Source organism: Homo sapiens, chromosome 2 (assembly GCF_000001405.40).
Source record: "Homo sapiens chromosome 2, GRCh38.p14 Primary Assembly".
NCBI classification, from domain to species: Eukaryota; Metazoa; Chordata; class Mammalia; order Primates; family Hominidae; genus Homo; species Homo sapiens.
Window position 1 is genome coordinate 127,096,087 of NC_000002.12, and position 22,626 is coordinate 127,118,712.

The following is a 22,626-nucleotide window of genomic DNA, read 5'->3' on the forward strand; positions in this document are numbered from 1 at the left end:
AGACCCTCACCTCCACCCCCAGCCCTGTGCCCCTCATCTGGCCCCCTCCAGCCTCGGCCCCACCTGCAATCTTTCGCCCTCTCCTCCCCATTCTATCAGGGTCTAAGTCAAAGGAGAGCTGACTTCTGTCCTGGGAAGGTGAGACCATCAGCTCCCAATTTAGCTTTTTCAGCCTCTACAGGTGGTGGGGAGAGAATGGCAGGGAAGCTCACTGAAGTTCACTTTCAAGAAACCTGTCATAAGCACAGACAACAAACTCAAAACACGAAAGCCAGAATGACGCCCGTGGGCTGTCATGAGATGCTCCCTGGGAAAGAGCGTTTGCATCACCCACCAGGGAGGGCAGAGCTGCGTGCTTCCCTCACACATCCTCCCAGACCCTCCAACAAGCCATAGGCAAGTGACTTGCCCAGCGCCACACAGCGGGGGAGCAGCCCCAAGGGGATGAATTCCTTCCTCCCTATGTCCTAACTTTCCTCTTCCCCTTTCTCTCATTCGGTGTCTCCCCTCCCTTTGCCCATCTGCCTGTGGTCCCAGGGTCCAGCTCCGAGCTCCATCCACCCCATCACCTGCATCTGGCCCCTGACACATAATTAGACAGCTCATACCACTTCAGGCCAGAGAAAAAAGGGGAGCTGCCATGGGCCAAATGGATAGGAGGCCAAAGACCCTCAAGGGGTCTTTCCCACCCAGGCCTCTCTGTGCCAGAAGGGCCCCTGCTTGCCCTGGACTCAGGCATCTTGGCCTCAGCCCCAGAGAGATGGTGAGCTGAGCAAAGGTCCAAAGAAAGTAGCAGCAGCTGTTGGAAAAAAGGGCTGGGCTGGCAAAGGCTCTCCTGGCACCCACTCCTGCCAGCCCTGTGGTTCCAACAAAGCTTCTCCAGCCACAGGCCTGGTGGAAACCCCTCGCTGCCAGACACTGCCCCCATCTCCATCCACACAACAGAGACTGAGGCATTATTCACGTTACCGTGCCCACTCCCCACTCGGGGGTCTGTCCTGGAGCCAGGGGTCCCCACAGCTGGCAGGACCACTCCTCTGAGGCCCCTCCCTAGCTCTGACCCAGCTCTGCAACAAAAGGACCCCTATGGCCATCCCAGTCAACGGCCTGGCCACACAGGGCCGTGCATACAGGGGCGCCCTAAAAAGGGTGAGCGGATCCACTGATAGACCTCCCAGCCGCCAGCTCTCCAGGCCCAGCAGCGTCAGCCCTCCAGGCCCAGCAGTGTCATCCCTCCAGGCCCAGGAGCGTCACCCCTCCAGGCCCAGCAGCGTCACTCCTCCAGGCCCAGCAGCGTCAGCCCTCCAGGCCCAGCAGCGTCACCCCTCCAGGCCCAGCAGCGTCAGCCCTCCTGGTGTCACCCTGGGCTGTGCAGCAGGTGGAGAAGCAGGCATGCATGGGACAGGGCAGGTACAGGATGTTTTCCACCTGCCCTTCCAGCGACAGGTGTCACCTGGCCCCTGTGTCCCCAGCCCTAACAGGGGTGGACTCCAGGCCCAAGCCCTGCCCCAGACCCTGGGCATGGCTGGATTCTAATCTGGCCCAGGCCACTCCTTCTGGAGACTCCAGGCTCATCCCCTCACCCGCAACCCAGGACAATTAAGATACAGTCCTTGGCTGAGGCCAGACCAGGAGACAGAAGAAAGGTTCAGGCAACACGTGGGGAGGGAAGCTGAAGAGCCCAGGGCAGGGCCCGCCTCACCCAAGGGCCCTGGGCTACAGCCCAGGCCCAGCCTCTGCCCATCTCCTCAAACTCAGGCCCTGAATGGGCCCTGACAAGCACTGTTCCCGCTGCCATCCAAGCATCTCTCCCCACACTACCACCTGCCTCCTTTGCCCTCTGAACTTGGCTCAGGTTCTGAGGAGGCTTCCCTGACTGCTGGGGCCTGAGGGAAAGCCCCTCAGGCTCCAGTGCCCTCCCCAACCCACAGTCCTGGGATGAGTGCTGTGTGCAAGGCTGGGAGCTCCTGAGAGCAGGCACCCACAGTGGGCAGGTCACAGATGACAGAATGACTTAGGGTGTAAATGCGAAGCCATCGCTGCCTCTACCCAGGTGATCTGCAGGCTCCTCGGGGGACTTCATTCAGAGTAAGAAGTTGACCCACAAAACAAGGACCATATTTCAGGAGCCAGCGGGGATGCCCCAGGGGCTCTGAGGATGGGGAGGCCTGCAGGGAACGGAAGGCCTGAGCTCCACAGACCCTGGTAGTGATAAATCCTTCCCCCGCCCCCAACCCAGTCCTGTGGCGGCTGCTGCAGCCACCCACTCACTCCCCGTAACAATCCGGGCTCAGCCACCAGACACTGCGGCCTTCACACAGCAGAGGGGAGATGTCTGCAGACTGGAGGCAGCAGTGGGGGCTGGGCATAGTATGGAGTCATGAATGCCCACTCCCAGGGGCACCACAGGACAGTCCTCAGTGCCCCAAGGCCACTGTGGCCCCAGGCTCCAAGGCCCAACCACCCCACCCCCACGCCCCATGCTGTTGCTGTGACCCCAATCCCACCCCACCTGCTGTCGCACTTGGGATCTAGGTCACAACGGGGGCCGAAGGTGCAGGCCCGGGAAGCAGAGGGAAGAGGCTTTGCAAAAAGCCAGCAAAATGTGTCCAAGGGCAGCAGCTCTCACAGTGATGTCTGGGTCCAGCAAATCACACTGAACCCCCAGCCAGCACTGCCCAGTACTGCTGTCACCTGAAAGCTTTCTCTTATAGGACAGGCCCCTGCAGAGGACCGAGGCCAAGCCCTATTTGGCATCTGGCCTAAAATCAGGCAGGACTCCTCGGCTGGGCCTGGGCCAATCACAAGAACCCCATTTGTGGGCACCAAGCATTACAGCCACCAGCTCAGGTTAGGCCCCACCACAGCCCTGAGCAGCTGACCACGGCTGCTTTATCACGGGGGAGTGTGATGAGGAGCGATCCTGGGTCCCTCCAGGGTGGCCGGGGCAGGGTGGGATCTGCACCCACTAGCCTAGCCCCAACCTAAATCCTGCAGACACAGCATCCCTCCCGCTCCCACCCTGCACCCTCAAACCCAGGGAGCCTCCAGGGCCTCTGCCAGCCATCAGTGCTGTCTCCCCACTGCCTAAAGAATCCATGCAGCCACATGTGCAACAAGTATGCACCTACTGTGAGCCAAGCTGAGGGGATGAGATGCCTTGGTGACCACAGGGACCAGAGACACATGGGCCTGCCTGGGTCAGGAAGCAAAGCAAAGTGCCCAGAGTATGGGATTCCCCCCAGGAAGTCTTCCCAGGGTGCATGTGTGTGTGTGTGTGTGTGTGGTAGCGGGGGCAGTGTCGGCAGCATGGTTCTTTCCCCCCCAGGAACATTAAAAAACAACTAGTATGACCATCATCTCATTAAAGAAATACTGTAGCAGTAACAGAAACAAAATTAGAGGGACGTAAACTTTATTTTTATTTACTTATTTATTTATTTGTTGAGACAGAGTCTCACTCTGTCACCAGGCTGGAGTGCAGTGACACGATCTGGGCTCACTGCAACCGCCGCCTCCCGGGTTCAAGCGATTCTCCTGCCTCAGCCTCCCAAGTAGCTGGGATTACAGGCGCATGCCACTACACCCAGCTAATTTTTGTATTTTTAGTAGAGACGGGGGTTCACCATGTTGGCCAGGATGGTCTCGATCTCTTGACCTCGTGATCCGCCCGCCTCGGCCTCCCAAAGTGCTGGGGTTACAGGCGTGAGCCACTGCGCCTGGCCTTTTTTTTTTGAGACGGAGTCTCGCTCTGTCGCCCAGGCCGGAGTGCAGTGGTGTGATCTCAGCTCACTGCAACCTCCGCCTTGCAGGTTCAAGCGATTCTACTGCCTCAGCCTCCCGAGTAGCTGGGATTACAAGCGCCGCCACCACGCCAGGCTAATTTTTGTATTTTTAGTAGAGACGGGGTTTCACCATGTTGGCCAGCTGTGGTCTAGAACTGCTGACTTCAGGGGATCCACCCGTCTCGGCCTCCCAAAGTGCTGGGGATTACAGGCATGAGCCACCGCACCCGGCCAAGAGTGTTCTTTTAGACTGGAATAAACTGGAGACAACTTTTACTATTTGGGAAAAAACACACAGCACAGGGTCCTGTCTGTCCTCATTTGCGTGCATGAACCCCCATCTCTGGACTTGCACCTAGAAACCCCAGGTGTTCCCATCACCCCAGAGTCTACCACACACTCCAAAGTGCAAGCCTAGACCCCAGGTGGAGCTGGGGGTCCGACAGGGGCCCCAAGTCTTGGGAGGGTCTTGGGGACCAAAGTCTGTCACAATGACACTCCTTCACCATCAGGGCTTTATGCAGGGAGTCCGCTGGACGCCTCCATCTCATTTGCTTGTCTCCAAGGCCTTGCCCCAGGCCAGACCCCACTACTGATCCTACTGACCACAAGGGAGGTAGAAGCCCAGACGGCCCACTGGGGAGTCACACAACCACTCCAGCTTCAGTTTCTTCCTTTGTGGATGGGACGTATAATACTCTCACCTGTCCACAGTGATGATGGCATGCAGCCAGTATGCAGGAAACAATGCCATTATGTTTAAGTTAATATTTGACAAGGGCTTCCCTGTAGCAGGAAGAGCCTGCCTTTCTCTCCTCGGCTCCCCAGCCCTGACCCCTGTCAGCCCTTGGCAGGTCCACAACCCTGCGGCCTCTTTAGGAGGTGGCAGCCTCTCAGAAGCCCGGGTGCTGGGCCTCTTCCACAGCACAAGAACAGCAGTAGGCTGAGTCCCTCCAGTGGTCTCCGCAGGAGCAGAACCTGGAGCCCCACCTGAGTGGGCAGCCTCTCCAGCACATTTCGATTTCGTCTTCACCACAGCCCCAGCGGCAGAGATCATGACCCCTGTTTCAGATGAGGAAACCGGGATTCCAAGAATTCAGTGAGACTTGCCCAAGGGTAGGAATGTGCGGGGGGTGGGGATAGACTCAAACTCAGCTGTCTAGAGCTTTCTACCGCACCCAGAGTTGCTGCCTGGCATGAGAATCTTACAAGTGGCCCTGGGCAGCAGAGGCCATCTTTGACACCCTCCTCCTCTCCTTTAGCAGCCCCTCCTGCCTCCCCCATCCTCCATCCTGGACAGGTACCCCTGCCCACCTGCCCTGCACAAACACCCAGCGAGGCTGCACATCTGCACTCTTAATCCTAAAAGGAGGCTTGCCAAACAGGCAGCTTTAGGAAAACACAACAAACCAGGGTGGCATCCAAAAGGAAGCCATCCTCCCGTGGGTGCCCCTCACCTGGGACGGGAGCTGCCCACCTGACTCTCTCCACCCAATCCACTTGCTGTGTGAGCTCCCACAGTCACGTCCACATCTCAATCCTCAACCTAGCACACTCCTCCCGCACGGGACACATGCAGAAAGTCCTGAGGGCAGGTGAGTCCCTGCCTCACCACCCCTCTAAGCACCTGCCACTATACTTGGTGGTTTCTTCACCATCTCCCCTGGTGAGAATGTCAGCTCCAGGAGAGCAGGGGCTTGGTTCTGCTGACTCCTGGGTCCCCACTCCCTAGAACAGTGCCCAGTATATGGTGGTGCTCAATATTTGTTGCATGAATAAAGGAATGAACACACAAACTTCATCATATGCCAGTGGTGAAAAGTTAAGCCCAGAGACAGAAAAAAACTTATAGTTTATGGTGGGAGTAGTCAAGATTCACTCTAAAGCTCTCTGATTCCCAAGCCCAAACCCTCCACCCCTGTACACTGCACCCACACACATGCATGCACATACACTCACTGCCCCGGGTCTGTGAACGTCATAAGCCTGATCAACCCCAGGCTCAGGAGGGATTAGCTGTCTATAGAGGCCTGTAATGGACACTCTGGGGACAGGGGCTAGGAAGCGGGGCCATGCAGGAAGAAGGTGCCACATGTGGGCTCAAGGTGCCGCTCTGCCACAGAGCTGGCATTCAATGAGCACTTGCTATGCCCCAAGCACCTGCCTGGGGCTTTACTTCCCACAACACATGTGTGAAGAGGAACTGTTCTTATTCCCTATTTGATACATGAAGAAACAGGGCTCAGGAAGGGTCCGCAGCATGTCAGGGAAACCCAGAGCCTGTGCACGCCTGTGCATGCTGTTCCTTACAGAGATATGAGGACAGAGGGCCTACCTCCAAGGGTAGGACTCAGGGATTCTAGAACCTCAGGGACAGTCACACAGCTTGTAAGGGACCAGCTGGGCTGGACGCTGAGTCCAGGGACAAGGACCTGGTCAGATGCCAGTGAGAAGGGAGCCCCGATGTGGTGATCTTGAAGAGGGCGCAGAGAGTTCAAGCCTCAGCTTCTCCAAGAATCCTTGCGATCCATAGATCTTCCTGGCCTTCACAACTTCATGAAATATGGAGGGAATCTACCACCCAGGCACCCCTTCTCTTCAGAGAGCTGGCATCCTCAATGTCCTCACACCTCTCTCCACACCTTGGACCATGCCTGCACCTCCTGGAATGCCTTCTCCTTCCCCATGCCCCATGCAGCCTCCCAAGTAGGCTGTGCCTGGACAAGTAGCCTGTGCCTGGCTTGGTCCCTGCATGAGCCAGAAGGCTGTACTCAGGCCATCCAGGGCCCCTGGGGGATTGGGGAAGTCTGGAAGCCATGCTTCCAACCTCCCATGCCCACACGCCTTTACCGAACACCCAAGAACCCACACACACCTGGGCCCACCCACAGAAGATGCCCAGCTCAGAAGCCTTCCCTGCAGGGTGAGATGAACCATCTACATAAGTAACTCGGGTCCAGGGGAAGCTGAGACTGGAGAGATACAGGAAGAGCCTGAACAGGTTCAGAGGGAAGAGGCCCAGAGCAGGGAGGTACAGACAGAGACAGAGAAAAAGACAAGACAGTAGCCGGCAGGGAAGAACCTCAGACATTCAAGGACAGAAGGACAGAGATGGGCCCCAAGATGGACAGAGATGGGAATGTGGGTAGAGGGGGGCATCTTTGTGCTAGGGCCTGGGAAGGGGGCGGGACCCCTGCAAAGTCAGTGGCCAAGGTGAGGAGACCAGGGCCTCTGGGTGGGCTCCCAGTGCCATCACTGAGGGCCTGGGTGACTTGGGCAGGTGGCTGGGCCTGCCTATGCCCCCATTGTCCTTTCTATTACAGGGACCATGCACCCACTCTCAGGTGTAGCATTGCTGCTTCTGAGGTTGCTGCAAATATAACGCTTGGTGTACAGGCCTGGCTCCTCCGGAGGAGGCTAAGGTGGCTACTGCGTGAGGAGACCTTGACCACGCAGCTGAGCATAGTGCAATTCATGGCCATGCATCAAGGCTCTAGGAATCGCCACCACTGCACCTTCCTTTAGCGAGCCTCTTCTCGGCATGTCAGCGCTGTGCTGGGCACTGACAACCCTGGGCCCTCCCTCTGCCCAGCTGGCCCTCCCCACTATCCAGCCTGCACCCCTCCAGCATGCTCAGGACCTGCCGGGAGGGAGGGACAGCATGCACACTCCCACCCTGCCAGAGCCTTCCTCCTGTGCTCACTGTCAGCCCAGCGTGGTCAGAGAAAGGCCCAGCTCCGTCAGGCCGGCTCCATGAGGACTCCCAAGCCGTGGGCCTTCAGGGGCCAGCAGGCCAGATCCCCACCCCCTCAGCTGTCCTTCTCCCCAGGCGCCCCATCCCGCGAGGGGCCCAGCCTGCCAACCTCTAATCCTCCCCGTCATCTGACCCAGGCTCCACCCTACACTGGCTTTGCCTAGCCACTCTTCTGAGGCCCAAAAATGGACACAATCATTTATAGAGGGTTCGACAAGCCAAACGCAATGGGAAGATGACCTCACGGCGCCCACAGGCTCAAGCTCCCAGCACACACAGTGCACCCCACGCATTCCGGGGGCAGTGGCCAGGGGGCCAGGAGCAATGGTGCCATGCTGGAGGCCCTGGCAACCCTTCCAATTTATTCTCATACCCTCCTCACACCAAGGCCACAGGCCATGGGACCTTCAAGAAAAAGCTCCAGACAGGCCAGACACATGCACCCTGCCTGAGACAGCATCGGGGACTCAGCCCAGGAGGCACTGGGCCTGTGTCCAGGCAGGATTTGATGAATGAGTGATGGCAGAGAACAAACAACACAAATCAATCCACCATCAGCCTGCGTCAGGCCCAAATCCCTTGTTCAAAAACATTCACTAAGCACCGACTGGGGCCAGGTAACATCCTCAATGCACACACCTGGATGTGCCCTGCCGTGCCCTCAGGGATCAGCCAGACCAGTGGTGGAGGCAGAAGGGTCAACAGGTAACAACAGTCAAAAAAGAGCTGGCTTGGGGACCCTACAAGAGTGCAGGCTGCCCTTGACCACACTGTCACCCTCACAGTCTGGATGTTTGTTTGGGCTGGAAGTGGATGTGGGAAGGCCGGGGGTGAAGGGTGGATGCAAGATACGGGCCCTTCTTCCTACGCCAGGACGCCAGGACTCTCCCAGCCTCCCAGCACAGCTCCTGCCATCCTTGCTCAGGAAACGCCTTCCTGTAGCCACAGGGAAACTGGAATTGCCCTATTACCCACTGATTTCACCAAGGCAAGGTAGGTATAGTGGTGGGGCTGCCTGTAAGAGACTAGGATTCCAGTTTCATTGACAGTGGGAGTTAGAGGCGGCACTGATCACCAACAGAAGACACTGAGGATGACCCTCCAATGATGGCACAGACTCTACAGGAAGGCACACAGCAGAGGCTGCTGTGGGTTGAGGCATGGGGCTTCCTGCGAGCAGGGCCTGCAACCCAAAGGGAGGGGAAGGCTACTTTCAGAGACCTGGCCTGGATGCCTGTCATGATGGTCATGCTGCCTTGGTTTCTGATGGGGGGAGGGTCCCTAACTAGTCTCCGGCAGGCAGAGAGCAGCTGGAACACTAAACAACTCCAGTCCCAGGAAGCCCGGCATGGGCAAGGTCAGCTGTTGGCCAAGACCAGCATGCCTAGCTGACCAACTGTCAGCCAACTGCCCGTGGCCACAGAACAGGGGCTCAAGAGAGAGGGATGGTGTCTCAGGAGCTCAGTGATACATCACCACCTCCTTGGAGGGGACACAGCCCTTGCCTACTGCCCCGAGAATGACATCAAAGATGCTGCTGCAGAGAAAAGACAACCAGGGCAAAGGAGACACACCAAGAGCCTTGGGGAGCCAGGAAGGGGTGGGACACCAGTGGGAAGGGGGCAGGGAACACAGCTCAGCTAACCTCCCTTCCCATTCATCTCCCTGGCCCTTTAGGGAAGGAAGCAGGCTCTGGCCCAGGGCTGCCTGCTCCAGGCACACAGATGGATTACCCAGTCATGGCAGCCCGGAGCAGGGGTGGCTGCATCTGTGCTGCCACCCCCCCACCCCACAACCTGAAGTCTTCCCAGCCCCCAGCCAGCTATTCCTGGGGCTTTAATCCCTCCTCCTCCTCCTCCTCCTCCTCCTCCTCCTCCTTCCCTGGGGTGGGGGGTTGGGGAGCTGGGTCTGGGCAAACCTGGACTTGGCTGAGGGCCCTTCCTTCAATGCACACCCACCCACCTCCTTAGCCAGGAAACACAGGGATGAGCAGTAGGACTCTGAGGGAGGTATGGGGAAGCTCTAGGCGCCCCCCTCTCCCCCATCCCCCAGCAATCACGTGGTTGCATCCTTAGGGAGCCCGCGGGTCTCAGAAGCAAAAGTCATTGTTTATAAACAGCCACCAGGCCTGGCAGGGGAAGGCCGGCCTGTCCCTGCGCCTCCACCCGGCGGCCGCGCAGCGGGTGGGAGAGGGGGCAGGCCTGGCCGCGGGGCACTGGGGGGCCACCCTGGCAGAAACACAGATTCTGCAATCTCAGATTTCAGAGTTGGAGTCGTCAGGGGAAGTGGCGTCAGCAGCTGGCGTGATCCAATTCAATAAACCAGAGGTGGCTTGGGATAGACAACTGACCGGGTGCAGACCCCCGCCCCTCAATCTCTGCATTTCCTGCACGCTCTGGGCACCCTGGGAGGCCCCGGCTCCATCCCCCATTCCAGCTCTCCGCGAGGAGGGGTCGGGTTTCCTGTGGCGCCTTCCACGCGCCTCCTCCAGGCCAGCTCCCCACCCGGCCGTGGGCTCCCAAAGCCAGTGCCGCCACCCGCTCCCCGGCCGCCGGAAACGCTAAGCCCCTGCTGGGGCGAGGGCACCTCCTTGCGGGGTGCGTAGCCCTGGGCTCCCGGTGGGGCCGGGCTGGGCGGGAGCTTCCAGGCCGCAGGCACCTCTCGGGAAAGGAAACCCAATCCCTCCTTCGGCCCACGGAGAACGAAAGTGGAGAAGCAGTGGGAAGGAAGGAACTGTGGGTGCCGGTTCGAGAAGCAGCCTTGGGAGTCCGGGGGAATAGTGTCCCCAGGGGCAGAGGGACATACTCCCTCTCGCCCCGAGCGCCGGCCCAGCCTAGGTTGCCTGCATGGGCCTGGAGAGCTGAGGGTCACCACCTGGCCTCCCAGCCTCCCGGCCCTTGGCCTCCAAAGCGGGGTAGCCTGGAGCGCGCGCCTGAGAAGAGCCTGGAGCAGGGCCGGCCACTGCTGTGCAGCCGAGCCACGAAGGTGCAAAGCGGGGCCCTGTCCTGCCCCGGCCGGGTGTGGGGAGACAGAGGACGCAAACCTAAGAGGGCACCCAGAGCGCCGGGGAACGCAGCCTGGGGACCTCGAAGCCCCTCGAAAGCGCTCCTCTAGAGGTGACAGCACCAGATCCTGGCGAAGGACCAGGCCCCGGGGTCGGAGGATAGGGGGACAGGTGGCCGGGGCTCCGCGGCGGCTGGGACTCCGCGGCTGCTGGGGCTCCGGCTCGCTCACCTTCTCCTGCGCGCGGGTGAGCTTCTTCTGCACGTTGCTGGCGATCTTTCCCGCCGTCACCCCTTTACTGCCCATCTCTGCCATCGCGGCGCAGGCCTCGCCCGGTGGCAGGGGCCGCTCTCGCGCGGGGAGATCTTGCGCGCCGCGCTCCCAGCCCCCAGCCCCGGCCGCGCGTCCAGACCGGCTGCCGCTCCACGCCGCGCACCCGACAGCGGAGCCAACTGACGGAGGCGGAGCGTGCGCCGGACGGGCGAGCGAGCCAGCGAGCTAGCCAGCGAGCGACGCGGGGACAGAGGGAGGGAGAGGGGAGGGGCCGGGCCTCAGGCCGCGGTCGGCGCCCCCCGCCCGCCCCCTCCGGACAATAAGCTGCCTTTTAAAGGGCCACTCCGGGCGCCGGCACCGCCAGGTCCGCGAGGAGGGAGGGGCGCGCGCGGCGCTGGGGCTGCGGCGAGCGGGACTCCCCTGACGCTCCAGCTGCACCGCCCCGGGGCGGGGACTAATCCGCCGGCCTGGCGTCTTGGTCTTCCCCGCAAGCAGTAATCTCCTGCAACCCAGGAAAGGAGACTAGGTGGAGGAGAGGAGTGCTTTCGAAATCAAAGAGAAAGTGCGGCGAAGGGGGCGCGGCCCTGAACAGAGGAGCCGCGGCTGCTGGGAGAACGCGCCCGGAGCCCCCTCCTTTTCCAGGGGCTCACCTCCCGCCCGGTGCCCGGTGCCCGGTGCCCGACGCTCCGCCTCCTCCCAGCCTTCGGCCCTCGGGTTTTCGCCCGGATACCCTAGGCGCCTCCGGGACATCTCCACATCTTTGCCTACGGCGCCTAGCCCAGTACCAACCGGTGCTTGGTCTTCCCGTTCGCTAAAAATTTATTATAATAACAACAACCTAGCATTACTGAGTGCTTACTGTGTACTAAGTGACTTGACAGGCATTATTTCATTCGGTCTCCGTGGCCCTAGAGGTAGGTGCTATTACTGTTCCTACTTTACAACCAACGCGCCGGGATCGAGGAACGAGATCTCTGCCTCTGTCTCCCAGGTGCTCCACCACCATACGCCGGGTTGTCTCCTACCCCCAGCAGGAAGGAATGATTAGTGATCATTATTCCTGGAGAAGATAAGGTTATTGCTAACCAGCTTTGCCAATAGACCAATGACACTTCTTTTAAGTTAATAAATACGTATTGAGTCTGCTGATACCCACCCCCATTCAGCCCTAAAACATGTCAGGGGCTACAGCACTTTGCTGCCCCTGGAAATTTCTAAAGAACTGTTGATTGAGTTGAGCAGAGAGATAGGTCCCGCTGAAGAGGCCTAGACGTGTCTGGTGCACACACAGGAGCCAGGGCTATGGCCTGCAGGACCCGCAGCGGTCAGAGGAGCAGAGCTGGCCAGGGACAGAGGTCCCTGAGAGGCTTCCTGGAGGAACAGGAAGGGCTCTTGCAGACCACAAACCAAGCAGTTTGTACAAATGGAGAAATCGAGTCCCAGGAATGAGAGGTTCAGCCTGGGTTCACACAGGCCATTCCCTCTTCCCTGGAAGGCCCTCCTGCTCTTTCTCCGGCTACTCGGGGTTCTTCCACCACCGCTCAGTGCTGCCCCATGGCCCAGTGTGTTCGTCTGTCCTCTTCCGGGCCTATTATCATGATGTCCCTCGGTATCCCCCAGGGGACTGGTTCCAGCACATCCGTGGATACCAAAATCCAGGGATGCTCAAGTCCCTCATATGAATTGACACAGTATCTGCATATAGCGTACACAAATCCTCCAAAATACTTTAAATTATCTCTAGATTCTTGTAATAGCTAATACAATTTAAATACTATGTAAATAGTTGTTAACGCTGTATTTTTTATTTATTTATTTATTTATTTTTAGACAGAGTCTCACTCTGTCGCCAGTCTGGGGTGCAGTGGCGCAATCTGGGCTCACTGCAACCTCTGCCTCCCGGGTTCAAGTGATTCTCCTGCCTCAGCCCCCCGAGCAGCTGGGACTACAGGCACGTGCCACCATGCCCAGCTAATTTTTGTATTTTTAGTAGAGACGGAGTTTCACCATGTTGGCCAAGATGGTCTCCATCTCCTGACCTCGTGATCCTCCCGCCTTGGCCTCCCAAAGTGCTGGGATTATAGGTGTGAGCCACCGTGCCCGGCCTTGTTTTTTATTTATATTATTTTATTGTTGTAGTCTTACTTTTTATTGTATTTTTCCAAATATTTTCAGTCCACAGTTGGTTGGATCCATGGATGCCCAACCCACAGATGCAGAGGGCTGACTGTATTCTTATTCTGCAGGAAGACAGACTGAGGCGCCGCTGATGTAGGTCACACAGACAGCAAATGATAAGCAGAGATTCTGCATCAAGCCTTCCTGCACCAATGCCCTCAAAAGCACCAAGCGCTGCATGAGTGAAAAGCATCTGTCAAAATTATTATAAACTCATGCCCGATTTGTGAGTCACAAAAGCAAAACCTACACAGTCTGGGCTTCTAAAGCAGCTTCCTCCTAAAAGCTCAACATGCTTTCAGCTCATGATCTCCTTCCTCCTCATTTTCTGTTGGTCGTTTTTCTAACCATTCTCTAAAAGTGATTTCTTCCAACACTCCTCTGAGGAAAGGAGGAAATGAGCAAAGTCAAATTGCATTACAGTCAGCCCCCAGGGAACAGTGGGAGATTCTGCTTCACTGGACTCTGGTGTTTCTAAATATCGCTTGACAGAAAAATTGGAAGCAACGGAAGTGTTCATTAGAGGGATGGGGTCAGCTGTGACAGCACAGCCACAGGAGGGGCCATTGGGAATCATTTAAAACAACCATTACCGAGACTACGTAGCAACAAGAAAATAATGCTTAGGGCATAATTATGAAGGAAAGGAAAAGATAGGAAATTGTACTTGCAACCATATAAAAATAAATTAAAATAAATTAAAAGCTCATGATCAATGTCTTGAAAGAACAATGCATAAAGGAAGCAGATGTGTTAGGGTCCAGGCATTAAGGCTGACTTCTTTCCCCCTTAATTTCCTTAATATTCTATAATATGACATAATGCCTTGCCTATAATCCCAGCACTTTGGGAGGCCAAGGCAGGCGGATCACTTGAGGTTGGGAGTTCGAGACCAGCCTAACCAACATGGAGAAACCCTGTCTCTACTAAAAATACAAAATTAGCCGGGCGTTGTGGTGCATGCCTGTAAGCCCAGCTACTCGGAAGACTGAGGCAGGAGAATCACTTGAACCTAGGAGGCAGAGGTTGCGGTGAGCCGAGATCGCACCATTGCACTCCAGCCTAGGCAACGAGAGCAAAACTCCATCTCAAAAAAAAAAAGAATCACAGCTCTGTTTTTTTAGAGGTGATTTTTTATCAGATCGCTAGATTAAAAAGATATTTCTAAACACAAAAGCACTGGAGAATATATTGAAATTTTAAAATGCTTGCTTTGAGGTACATAAAAATTAGAATTCTTAAACTTCAGAAAATACCATAAAAACATAGGATAAAAGTTTGGGAGGAAATGATCTAAAAATGTTAGTACAAGTTCAAGGGGTAGAATGTAGATTTTTACTTTTTTCTGTATAATTTTCTATAGTATGTTATTTTTTTTTACCATGACAGCCCGTTATTTTAATTACCAGGAAAAGAGTTATTCCCATTTTGAAAATAAGTTTGACATAAAAATTAAACTGTAAGAAACTAGGGAAAATTTTTTTGGCAATAAAATAGAACTCTTACAAATTCATAAGAAAAACATTAAAACCCCAATATATAGTAGACAATTTATAAAATTGGATATTCAAATAATTAATAAATAGGTTTTCGAAAGTCAGACTTACCAGACAAAAAGAAAGGTTCATTAAATCAATGAAATACCATTTCTGTTTTCATTTTCATCAAATCAACAAATTATTTTTTAAATTATGTTACTTAATAAAACCATAGAGACAGAAACTCACATTCTACTTCTGAGAGTGTAAACAGATAACAGAATTTCTAGAAAGCAATCTTGTAATAGAATAAGAATAACCAAAATATCCATATTCTTCCACCCTATAATTCCAAGTCTATGATTTAATTCAAAAATTTGGCAAAGCTTTCACCACACAGATGTTCATCACATTATTTATAATAATGCAAAACTGAACACATCTAAATATCACCACCTGAATGCCGAATGATTAACTAAACTATAGTATGGCCATGTATGAAATGTTTACCAAAAGAATATGTTCTTGAAGTTTCTCATGATAGGGAAATGTGATGTTAACAGGATAATACAGTTTAATGTAAACAGTATCGTGCCAGCCGCGATCCAAAACGTGATTGATATCTCCAGGTGGAGCAATTCGGGGTGGGGTTTTTTTCTCCTACTTCTTTTTCTTTTTATTTTCCAAACTTTGTACATGTACTCTTTTTGTCATCAGAAAGAAGTGCTATTAAAAATACAAATTGAAATGAGGACAATGTCCCCTGGGGCAATAGTTGGGAAACCTCAGTGTGGCAGAATAGAAAGATAAAGCACACAGGCAGAGGGAGTGTGCCGTGCATCCAAACGGTGAGGGCTGGAGAAGCCATGTTTCTGTGTTTGTTTGCTTGTTTGTTTTAAATAGACTTTATTTTTATTTTTTTTTTTTTGAGACGAAGTCTCGCTCTTGTACCCCAGGCTGGAGTGCAATGGCTCGATCTCAGCTCACTGCAACCTCTGCCTCTCGGGTTCAAGTGATTCTCCTGCCTCAGCCTCCCGAGTAGCTGGGATTACAGGCGCCCAACACCACACCCAGCTAATTTTTGTATTTTTAGTAGAGATGGGGTTTCACCGTGTTGGCCAGGCTTTTAGAACACTTTTAGGTTCAGAGCAAAAGTAAGCAGAAGGTACAGAGATTTCCCATAACCTTTGCCCCACACATGCACAACCCCCCTCACTATCAACATCCCCAGCACAGTGGGACATTTGTTACAACTGAGGCACCTCCGTTGTTGCATCATTATCCCCCATAGTTCATAGTTTATGTGAGAACTCACTCTTGGCTTGTACGTTCTATGGGTCTGGGCAAGTGTACAATGGTACGTGTCTACTGTTAGAGTATCATATAGAACAGTTTCGCTGCCCTAAGAATCCTCTGTGCTCTGCCTGTTCATCCCTCCCTCCACCCCCCAGCCCCTGGCAACCACTGATCTTTTTGCTGTCTCCATAGTTTAGCCTTTTCTAGAATAAATGCCGTATTATTGGAACCATACAGTTTGTAGCCTTTTCAGACTGGCTTCTTTCACTTAGCAATATGCATCTAAGTTTCCTCCATGTCTCTTCATGGCTTGATCATTTCCTCTGGCACTGAGTAATGTTCCCTTTTCTGGATGCACCACACTTTATTTACCCACTCACCTATTGCAGAACATCTTGGTTGCTTCTGAGTTCAGGCCATTATGAATAAAGCTGCTATAAACATCCATGTGCAGGTTTTTGTGTGGACATAAGCGTTTGACTCCTTTGGGTAAATATCAAGAAGCATGATGGCTGAATCGTATGGTAACAGTGTGTTTAGTTCTGTAAGGAACTGTCAAATTCTCTTTCAAAGTGGCTGGACCATTTTGCATTCTCACCAGCAATGAATGAGAGTACCTGTTGCTCCATCCAAATCCTTGCTAGCATTTGGTGTTCCGGACTTTGGCCATTCTAATAGGTATGTAATGATATCTCATTATCATTTGGGAAATGATTTTTTTAAAACCATGAAGAACAGAGGCAAGCAAAGGACAGTCCTCCTATCCCTTGGAGAGAAAAGATCACCTGCCCCATTTTCTTCTCCAACTCAAGAATTGATTAAGAGGCTCCGAGCTAGCAATATTACTATCCTCATCATCATTCTATCTTACAAAGCAATTTTTGTTTATACTATTTTGGCTATCATAATAATCCTGCATTTGATAGAACTTTTGCTCACCTTTTATAGATGGAAACTTGGAAAAAGTAGGCTTACCTGAAGGCACTTAGCTGGTGGGTCCTGTACTGAGATCAGTTAGTACTTGGTCATCTGTGGTGTCTGGAACAGACCAGCTTTGTACCTCCCTCCTGAGACAGCCAACTTCACCTCTTACAGAGACAGGGAGGGGGCTGTCTTGCTCAGGATGCAGAAGATTCTAAGGCAGCACCAGTTATTTCAGGGCAGCGTTAAGTGTGATGTGGTATTCAGGAAGGGCTCCCTGACTCAAATTGTCCTCCATCTTTCTCACATGTAAAATGCCACCACTCTCAAGTTCCATGATATTTTGGAAAGGGCAGATAGACCTGGGTTCAGAAATCAGCTCCTCGGCTCGGTGCAGTGGCTCATGCCTGTAATCCCAGCATTTTGGGAGGCTGAGGCAGGCAGATTGCTTGAGCTCATGAGTTCAAGACCAGTCTGGGCAACATGGTGAAATCCTGTCTCTACCAAAAAATTTAAAAAATTAGCTGAGCGTGGTGGTGTGCTCCTGTAGTCCCAGCTATTTGGGAGGCTGAGATGTGAGGATTACTTGAGCCCAAGAAGCTGCAGTGAGCCAAGATTGCACCACTGCACTCCAGCATGGGTGTCAGAGCCAGACCCTGTCTCGCAAAAAAAAGAAAAAAAGAAAAGAAAAGTAATCAGCTACTCCATTTACCACTTTTCCATCCTTGGATATGTTATTCAAGCTGTTCAAGCCTCATCTATAATGTGGGGGTAAATTAACCTCTAGGTTATTGTGGAAATAGTGAACACTATATTTACAGCCCCTGGAATATCAGAAGTGACTCTGTAGATGGTGGCTATCTATAGTGGGTAGCAGATGCTATAACTGTGGTGTGCCCTGCCCATTGTCCTGCTTTCCTTTGGAGCTCCTTCTTCGGTGGGTGTGCTTTGATGAGCCCTGTCTCTTACACTGTGATGTGCACATAGCCCAGGCTTGAGGATGAGCACATGAAGTTTGGGCTCTCTTGGGAAAAGCCCAAGAAGAGCTTTCCTAGGATGCTCTATACTTGTAGGACCCATAAGTTCCCTTTTCTTCTAGACTAGCAGAGTTGGGAGGATGTGAGTCTAGAGCTACCAGATGCCAGCTTGCCCACTACATGAAAGACCTGCCTAGAAGTTGAGGTCAAGACGAGTGAAGAGACGGAGAAACAGGGACAGAGAGAAATGGAATTAATGACATTTCTTAAGAACCTGGTCCCAGTGATGCCCAAATCCTGGCCACTCCCACCACGTACTATCAGCCATAGGAACCAATACATTTTTTTCTTGCTAAAGCCAATTTGAGGCCACTTGCAAGAAGTGTTATGACTAATATACCATTATCTTTTTGTTGTTGTTGTTTGGTTTGGTTTGGTTTTTTTGAGATGGAGTCTTACTCTGTCACCCAGGCTGCAGTGCAGTGGTGCTAACCCAGCTCACTGCAACCTCTGCCTCCCAAGTTCAACTGATTCTCCCACCTCAGCCTCCCAAGCAGCTGGGATTACAGGCTCCCACCGCCATGCCTGGCTAATTTTTGTATTTTAAGTAAAGATGGGGTTTCACCATGTTGACCAGGTTGTTCTCAAACTCCCGACCACAGATGATCTGCTCGCCTTGGCCTCCCAGAGTACTGGGATTATAGGCGTGAGCCGCCGCACCCAGCCAATATACCATTATCTTAATAAAGACCTTCAGAGAGCCAACTCTAATGCATTTGTTATGCTATAGGTATCATCAAGCTAGTCTCTCCTGAGTGCCTGCACCTGACCCATCAGTATTAATATGGAGTGTCCAAACTAGGACAATTTTGAGTGAAAGGGGAAAAAAATAATTACACCTAGGTAGCAGGTGTAAGCCAGAACTGTCCTGGGCAAATGGACGTATGAGTAGGTGGTTGAAGGGGTAGGAGTTCAGAATGAAGGTTGGCAAAGAGGCTAAGGACATTGTACACTGTGCTGGGGTTGGCACCAAACACTGAGGCTTGTGCAGACTCCCCAGCCTGTCCAGCTTTCCTTGAGGCGATCCTTGCAGAGACAAAAAGACAACTCCCCACAGAACCATCTGGAAGGCCCTGTCCCTGGGCTTCTAAGGGGCCCAGATGTTTAGATCCAATTTCAGCAGACCGTGTAGGAGAGACCTGTGGAGTGAGCCAGTGAGTGGATCCCCCAACTAATTCCAGGATATTAGCAAGGCCTCCAGGAATGAGTTACTTCCTTTTGCCACCAGCAAGTGAAGTCTCCAAAAGCAAAACCTTTTTCAAGATGATCAGCTTAGCCAGGCACGGTGGCTTACACCTGTAATCCCCAGCATTCTGGGAGGCTGAGGAGGGTGGATCACCTGACATCAGGAGTTCAAGACCAGCCTGGCCAACATGGTGAAACCTGGTCTCTACTAAAAATACAAAAATTAGCTGGGTGTGGTGGTGTGCACCTGTAATCCTAGCTACTTGGGTGGCTGAGGCAGGAGAATCGCTTAAACCCCGAAGGCAGAGGTTGTAGTGAGCTGAGATCGCACCACTACATTCCAGCCTGGGAGACAGAGCAAGACTCCATCTCAGAAAAAAAAAAAAGAAAAAAGGAAAAAATCAGCTTGCTTGTGTTTGTCCTGCATGTCTTTAAACCTTGACCCCTGCGTGGTCTATGCTGTGGCTAAAAAGTAGTAGACTGAGATGCTGACGACGACACACAGGCTTTAGGCCAAAGGCCCTGGCTCCATCGGTATGAGTACTGTGGCCCTGGGCCAGTCACTGCCTGCTTCCTTTAAGTGGGGCCTTCATACTCACCAGGAAAGGCTGCCGATGAGGATTAGGGGTACCAGGCAGTCCCTGGTAGGGCTGATTGAGCTTGGTAAAGCATAGTTGCTATTATGACATAGCGGCTGTTAGTCCCTTAGTTAATCTAGTATGTGCCCGCATTGCTGGTGAGACACAGGGGGCAGACCTCTGTTGGCTCTCCAGGTGGTCAAATAAAGGTGCAGAAAAGCAAACAGCCCTTTGCCCAGCACTCCTTCTTTAATAAATCACTGCTTAGTTCCTGTAGAAGATTCCAGACTTTGGAAATACTCACTGGAAATTTACCCTAATTATCTATTTAAAAATGGCTTTCTAAACAGAGTGCTGAGATAAGATGGCCCATCTCCGTGTTTAAGCATTTCTAAAGTCTCGTTTGTTTATCAACACGCCCACAAGCTATGAAGCTACTAAGGTGACTGACCGGTTCCTTGAAACTGGGCTTCATTTACAAGTTACTAGGTGCACTTTAGGAGGGCAATTTCAGGTGTTTAACCAAAACCTGACAAACATATGCATCTGAGATTCTGTCCTTAGAATATAGTCACTAGCGCAGTCATGTCCTCACAATGAGTGAAATAGTGAAAAGTTGGACACAATCTAAATGTCCAGGCGTGGATTGTTAAATTTGCTTATTTTAAAATTTGGTTTATCCATACAGTTGATCTTTGAACAACATGAGTTTGACCTGCATGGATCCACATATACGTGAATTTCCTTCCGCCTCTACCACTCCTGAGACAGCGAGACAAACCTCTCCTCTTCCTCTTCCTCTTCCTCCTCAGCCTACTCAGTGTGAAGACCTTTATGATGATCCATGTCCACTGAATGAATAGTAAGTATATGTTCTGTTCCTTACAATTTTCTTATAACATTCTCTTTCCTCTAGCTGACTCTAGTGTAAGAATACAGTATATAATACATATACAGAATGTGTATTAATCAACTGTTTATGTTATCAGCAAGGCTTCTGATGAACAGTAGGCTATTAATAGTTAAGTTTTGTGGGGGCCAAAAGTCATGCACAGATTTTCGGCTGTGTGAGGGGTCAGTGCCCCCAATCGCCGCACTGACCAAAGGTCAATTGTATTTTGAATATTAAGCTACCGTTAAAAATTGATAAATGAGACTTCAAATTTTTTTTTCTTTTTCTTTTTTTTTTTTTTGAGACGGAGTCTCGCTCTGTCACCCAGGCTGGAGTGCAGTGGCGCGATCTTGGCTCACTGCAAGCTCCGCCTCCCAGGTTCACGCCATTTTCCTGCCTCAGCCTCCCGAGTAGCTGGGACTACAGGCGCCCGCCACCACGCCCAGCTAATTTTTTGTATTTTTAGTAGAGATGGGGTTTTTTAGTAGAGACGGGGTTTCACTGTGTTAGCCAGGATGGTCTCGATCTCCTGACCTCGTGATCCGCCCGCCTCGCCCTCTCAAAGTGCTGGGATTACATGCGTGAGCCACCGCGCCCGGCCGAGACTTCAAAATTTTTAAAGCCTGCTCTTCCAAAGACACCACTAAGAAAATGAAGAGGTAATCCACTCAGATAAAACTTTTCATGGTACAGATATCTAATGAAGGACTTGTATCCAAGAACAAATTAAGAATTGTCATAACTCAATAAGGAAAGCAATCTTTTTTTTTTAAGGCAAATGATTTGAAAAGACCCTTCACTACAGCAGATATACAAATGGCAGTAAGCATGGGAGAAAATGAGTCTTCATGAGTCTTTAGGGAAATACAAATTGAAACCACAATGAGTTAACGCCATACACTCACAAAAATGGTTATATTTAAAAGGCGACAACACCCAACGCTGGTGGGAGTGGGAGCAAATGGAGCTCTCCCCAAAGCCACTGTCCCTTATAGCAGGGTCCTCCTTCAGTCATGATGAATTTCTGCTTTTCTTTTTTCCTCCTGCACCATCTCCTACCCCAGTTCATTGTACATATCTGAAATCTGATCATGGGCCCAGCTGCTGTTGTATCCCATGAGAGTCCCTGTGACCACAAATAAATACCTGGATGGAGAGGGGCTCCCCAACTCCAGAGCCAACATGGCCACCTCAGCCTTGCCCAGACAGCCCCCCAACACCCTACGGGGCTTTGCATGTATCCTTCCTAAAGACATGGGCATACATATCTGACTTCCCCAACTCTCCTCCCCGATTTCCTCACCAGGCAACTTGGCAACCTGCCTCACCTTTACAGACACGCGCAGTTGTCACCTCCTCCAGGGAGATCTCTTTGACTCATCTCAGGTGGGGCTAAATGGCCCTCGTCTATCCTCCCCCGGGGTCCTGCGCTTGCCTTTCTCACAGACCCAGCACCCCTCCAAAACAGTCGTTCTGCAATAGTGGGGGAAAGGTGCCCTGGGACCCAATTCTTAACTCTGGCCATGAACGAGGGTACATCTACTGGGATTCCCTTTGCCTGGTGAGGATTGGAGTTGGGGGAGGAGGTTATGAAATATCCTCCTGCTCAGAGGCCACATTGAGAAGTGACAACTCCTTGTACAGAATGTGGGCTGTCTTTCAGTAGAAGTGATGCTCAGAACCGCGGCCTCCAACTGTGGCTCCTGGGGGCAGGGCTGGGCCTGCTTAGCTCTGACCCCCAGTGCCCTCCCTGAAGCTGGCCGCAGATCAGGCACCCAACAAATGTATAGACGTGGTCCACCCAACCTCAGGGAAGGGTCTCAGCACCAGCAGGGTGGGGCCCACCTGGAGCTGGGGACTCATCCTCCAAAGTCACCCACTTATCTGTCTTTTTGCTTATGTCCTGCCCTGTCACCTCGTCTCTCTCTGTTACTGACATTTGGCATGGGTGTGATCTTAGGGTTTTATAAGTCACTGGACATGTTTGACTCACTTTTTCCCTGCTGACCTGTACTGCTTCCAAAGCTGGCTTCTATCTACCCACCACCTCATTATTGTGTTCTGGGCACGGGAGGAAGTGCAGGGCCCAGTGAGCCTGATTGGCAGGACCTCGGGTGGCAGCATGGCAGGACAGACAGAGATGAACATTCACCAGAGCGCAGGTGGTCCACGTCACTCTTGCAGTGAAATCATGTTTCTCGCATTTTAGATTTTACAGAAGAGGACACAGAACATAATCATTGTTT

The 22,626-nt window shown here is 52.5% G+C and overlaps 1 protein-coding gene and 1 long non-coding RNA gene across 16 annotated transcripts in view, besides 6 other annotated features; one reads left to right on the forward strand and one right to left on the reverse strand.

Annotated features, from left to right (window-relative positions):
- The window catches only part of BIN1 (bridging integrator 1), a 59,132-nt gene extending 48,064 nt beyond the window's left edge, over positions 1-11,068 (reverse strand). For all 14 annotated transcript variants that reach the window (NM_139351.3, NM_139350.3, NM_139349.3 and 11 more), the window contains exon 1: positions 10,774-11,068. In NM_139351.3, coding sequence (NP_647601.1) covers positions 10,774-10,857 — 84 coding nt within the window. In that variant the 5' untranslated portion in view covers positions 10,858-11,068. The remainder of the gene's footprint in view (positions 1-10,773) is intronic.
- Positions 76-846: an enhancer, noted in NCBI's record as "H3K4me1 hESC enhancer chr2:127853738-127854508 (GRCh37/hg19 assembly coordinates)". NCBI's record gives its function as "activates a minimal SCP1, AML or CMV promoter by ChIP-STARR-seq in primed H9 embryonic stem cells {active_cell/tissue: H9 hESC(primed)}" and the evidence as "EXISTENCE:reporter gene assay evidence [ECO:0000049][PMID:30033119]".
- Positions 7,644-8,196: an enhancer, noted in NCBI's record as "H3K4me1 hESC enhancer chr2:127861306-127861858 (GRCh37/hg19 assembly coordinates)". NCBI's record gives its function as "activates a minimal SCP1, AML or CMV promoter by ChIP-STARR-seq in naive H9 embryonic stem cells {active_cell/tissue: H9 hESC(naive)}" and the evidence as "EXISTENCE:reporter gene assay evidence [ECO:0000049][PMID:30033119]".
- Positions 10,916-11,125: a silencer, noted in NCBI's record as "silent region_11929". NCBI's record gives its function as "represses an Ori minimal core promoter by ATAC-STARR-seq in GM12878 lymphoblastoid cells {active_cell/tissue: GM12878}" and the evidence as "EXISTENCE:reporter gene assay evidence [ECO:0000049][PMID:35858748]".
- Positions 10,916-11,301: a biological region, named in NCBI's record as "Sharpr-MPRA regulatory region 2128".
- Positions 11,007-11,301: a silencer, noted in NCBI's record as "tiled region #2128; HepG2 Repressive DNase matched - State 4:PromP". NCBI's record gives its function as "represses a minimal TATA promoter and a strong SV40 promoter by Sharpr-MPRA in HepG2 cells {active_cell/tissue: HepG2}" and the evidence as "EXISTENCE:reporter gene assay evidence [ECO:0000049][PMID:27701403]".
- The window catches only part of LOC105373605 (uncharacterized), a 28,682-nt gene continuing 17,114 nt past the window's right edge, over positions 11,059-22,626 (forward strand). Inside the window, exons 1-2 of one of the 2 annotated variants that reach the window (XR_923311.4) lie at positions 11,059-11,729; positions 20,177-20,350. This is a non-coding gene — a long non-coding RNA (uncharacterized LOC105373605). Of the gene's footprint in view, positions 11,730-19,656; positions 19,931-20,176; positions 20,351-22,626 lie in introns of those variants that run through there. The other variant, XR_923310.3, reaches the window with a different exon arrangement.
- Positions 11,136-11,195: a silencer, noted in NCBI's record as "silent region_11930". NCBI's record gives its function as "represses an Ori minimal core promoter by ATAC-STARR-seq in GM12878 lymphoblastoid cells {active_cell/tissue: GM12878}" and the evidence as "EXISTENCE:reporter gene assay evidence [ECO:0000049][PMID:35858748]".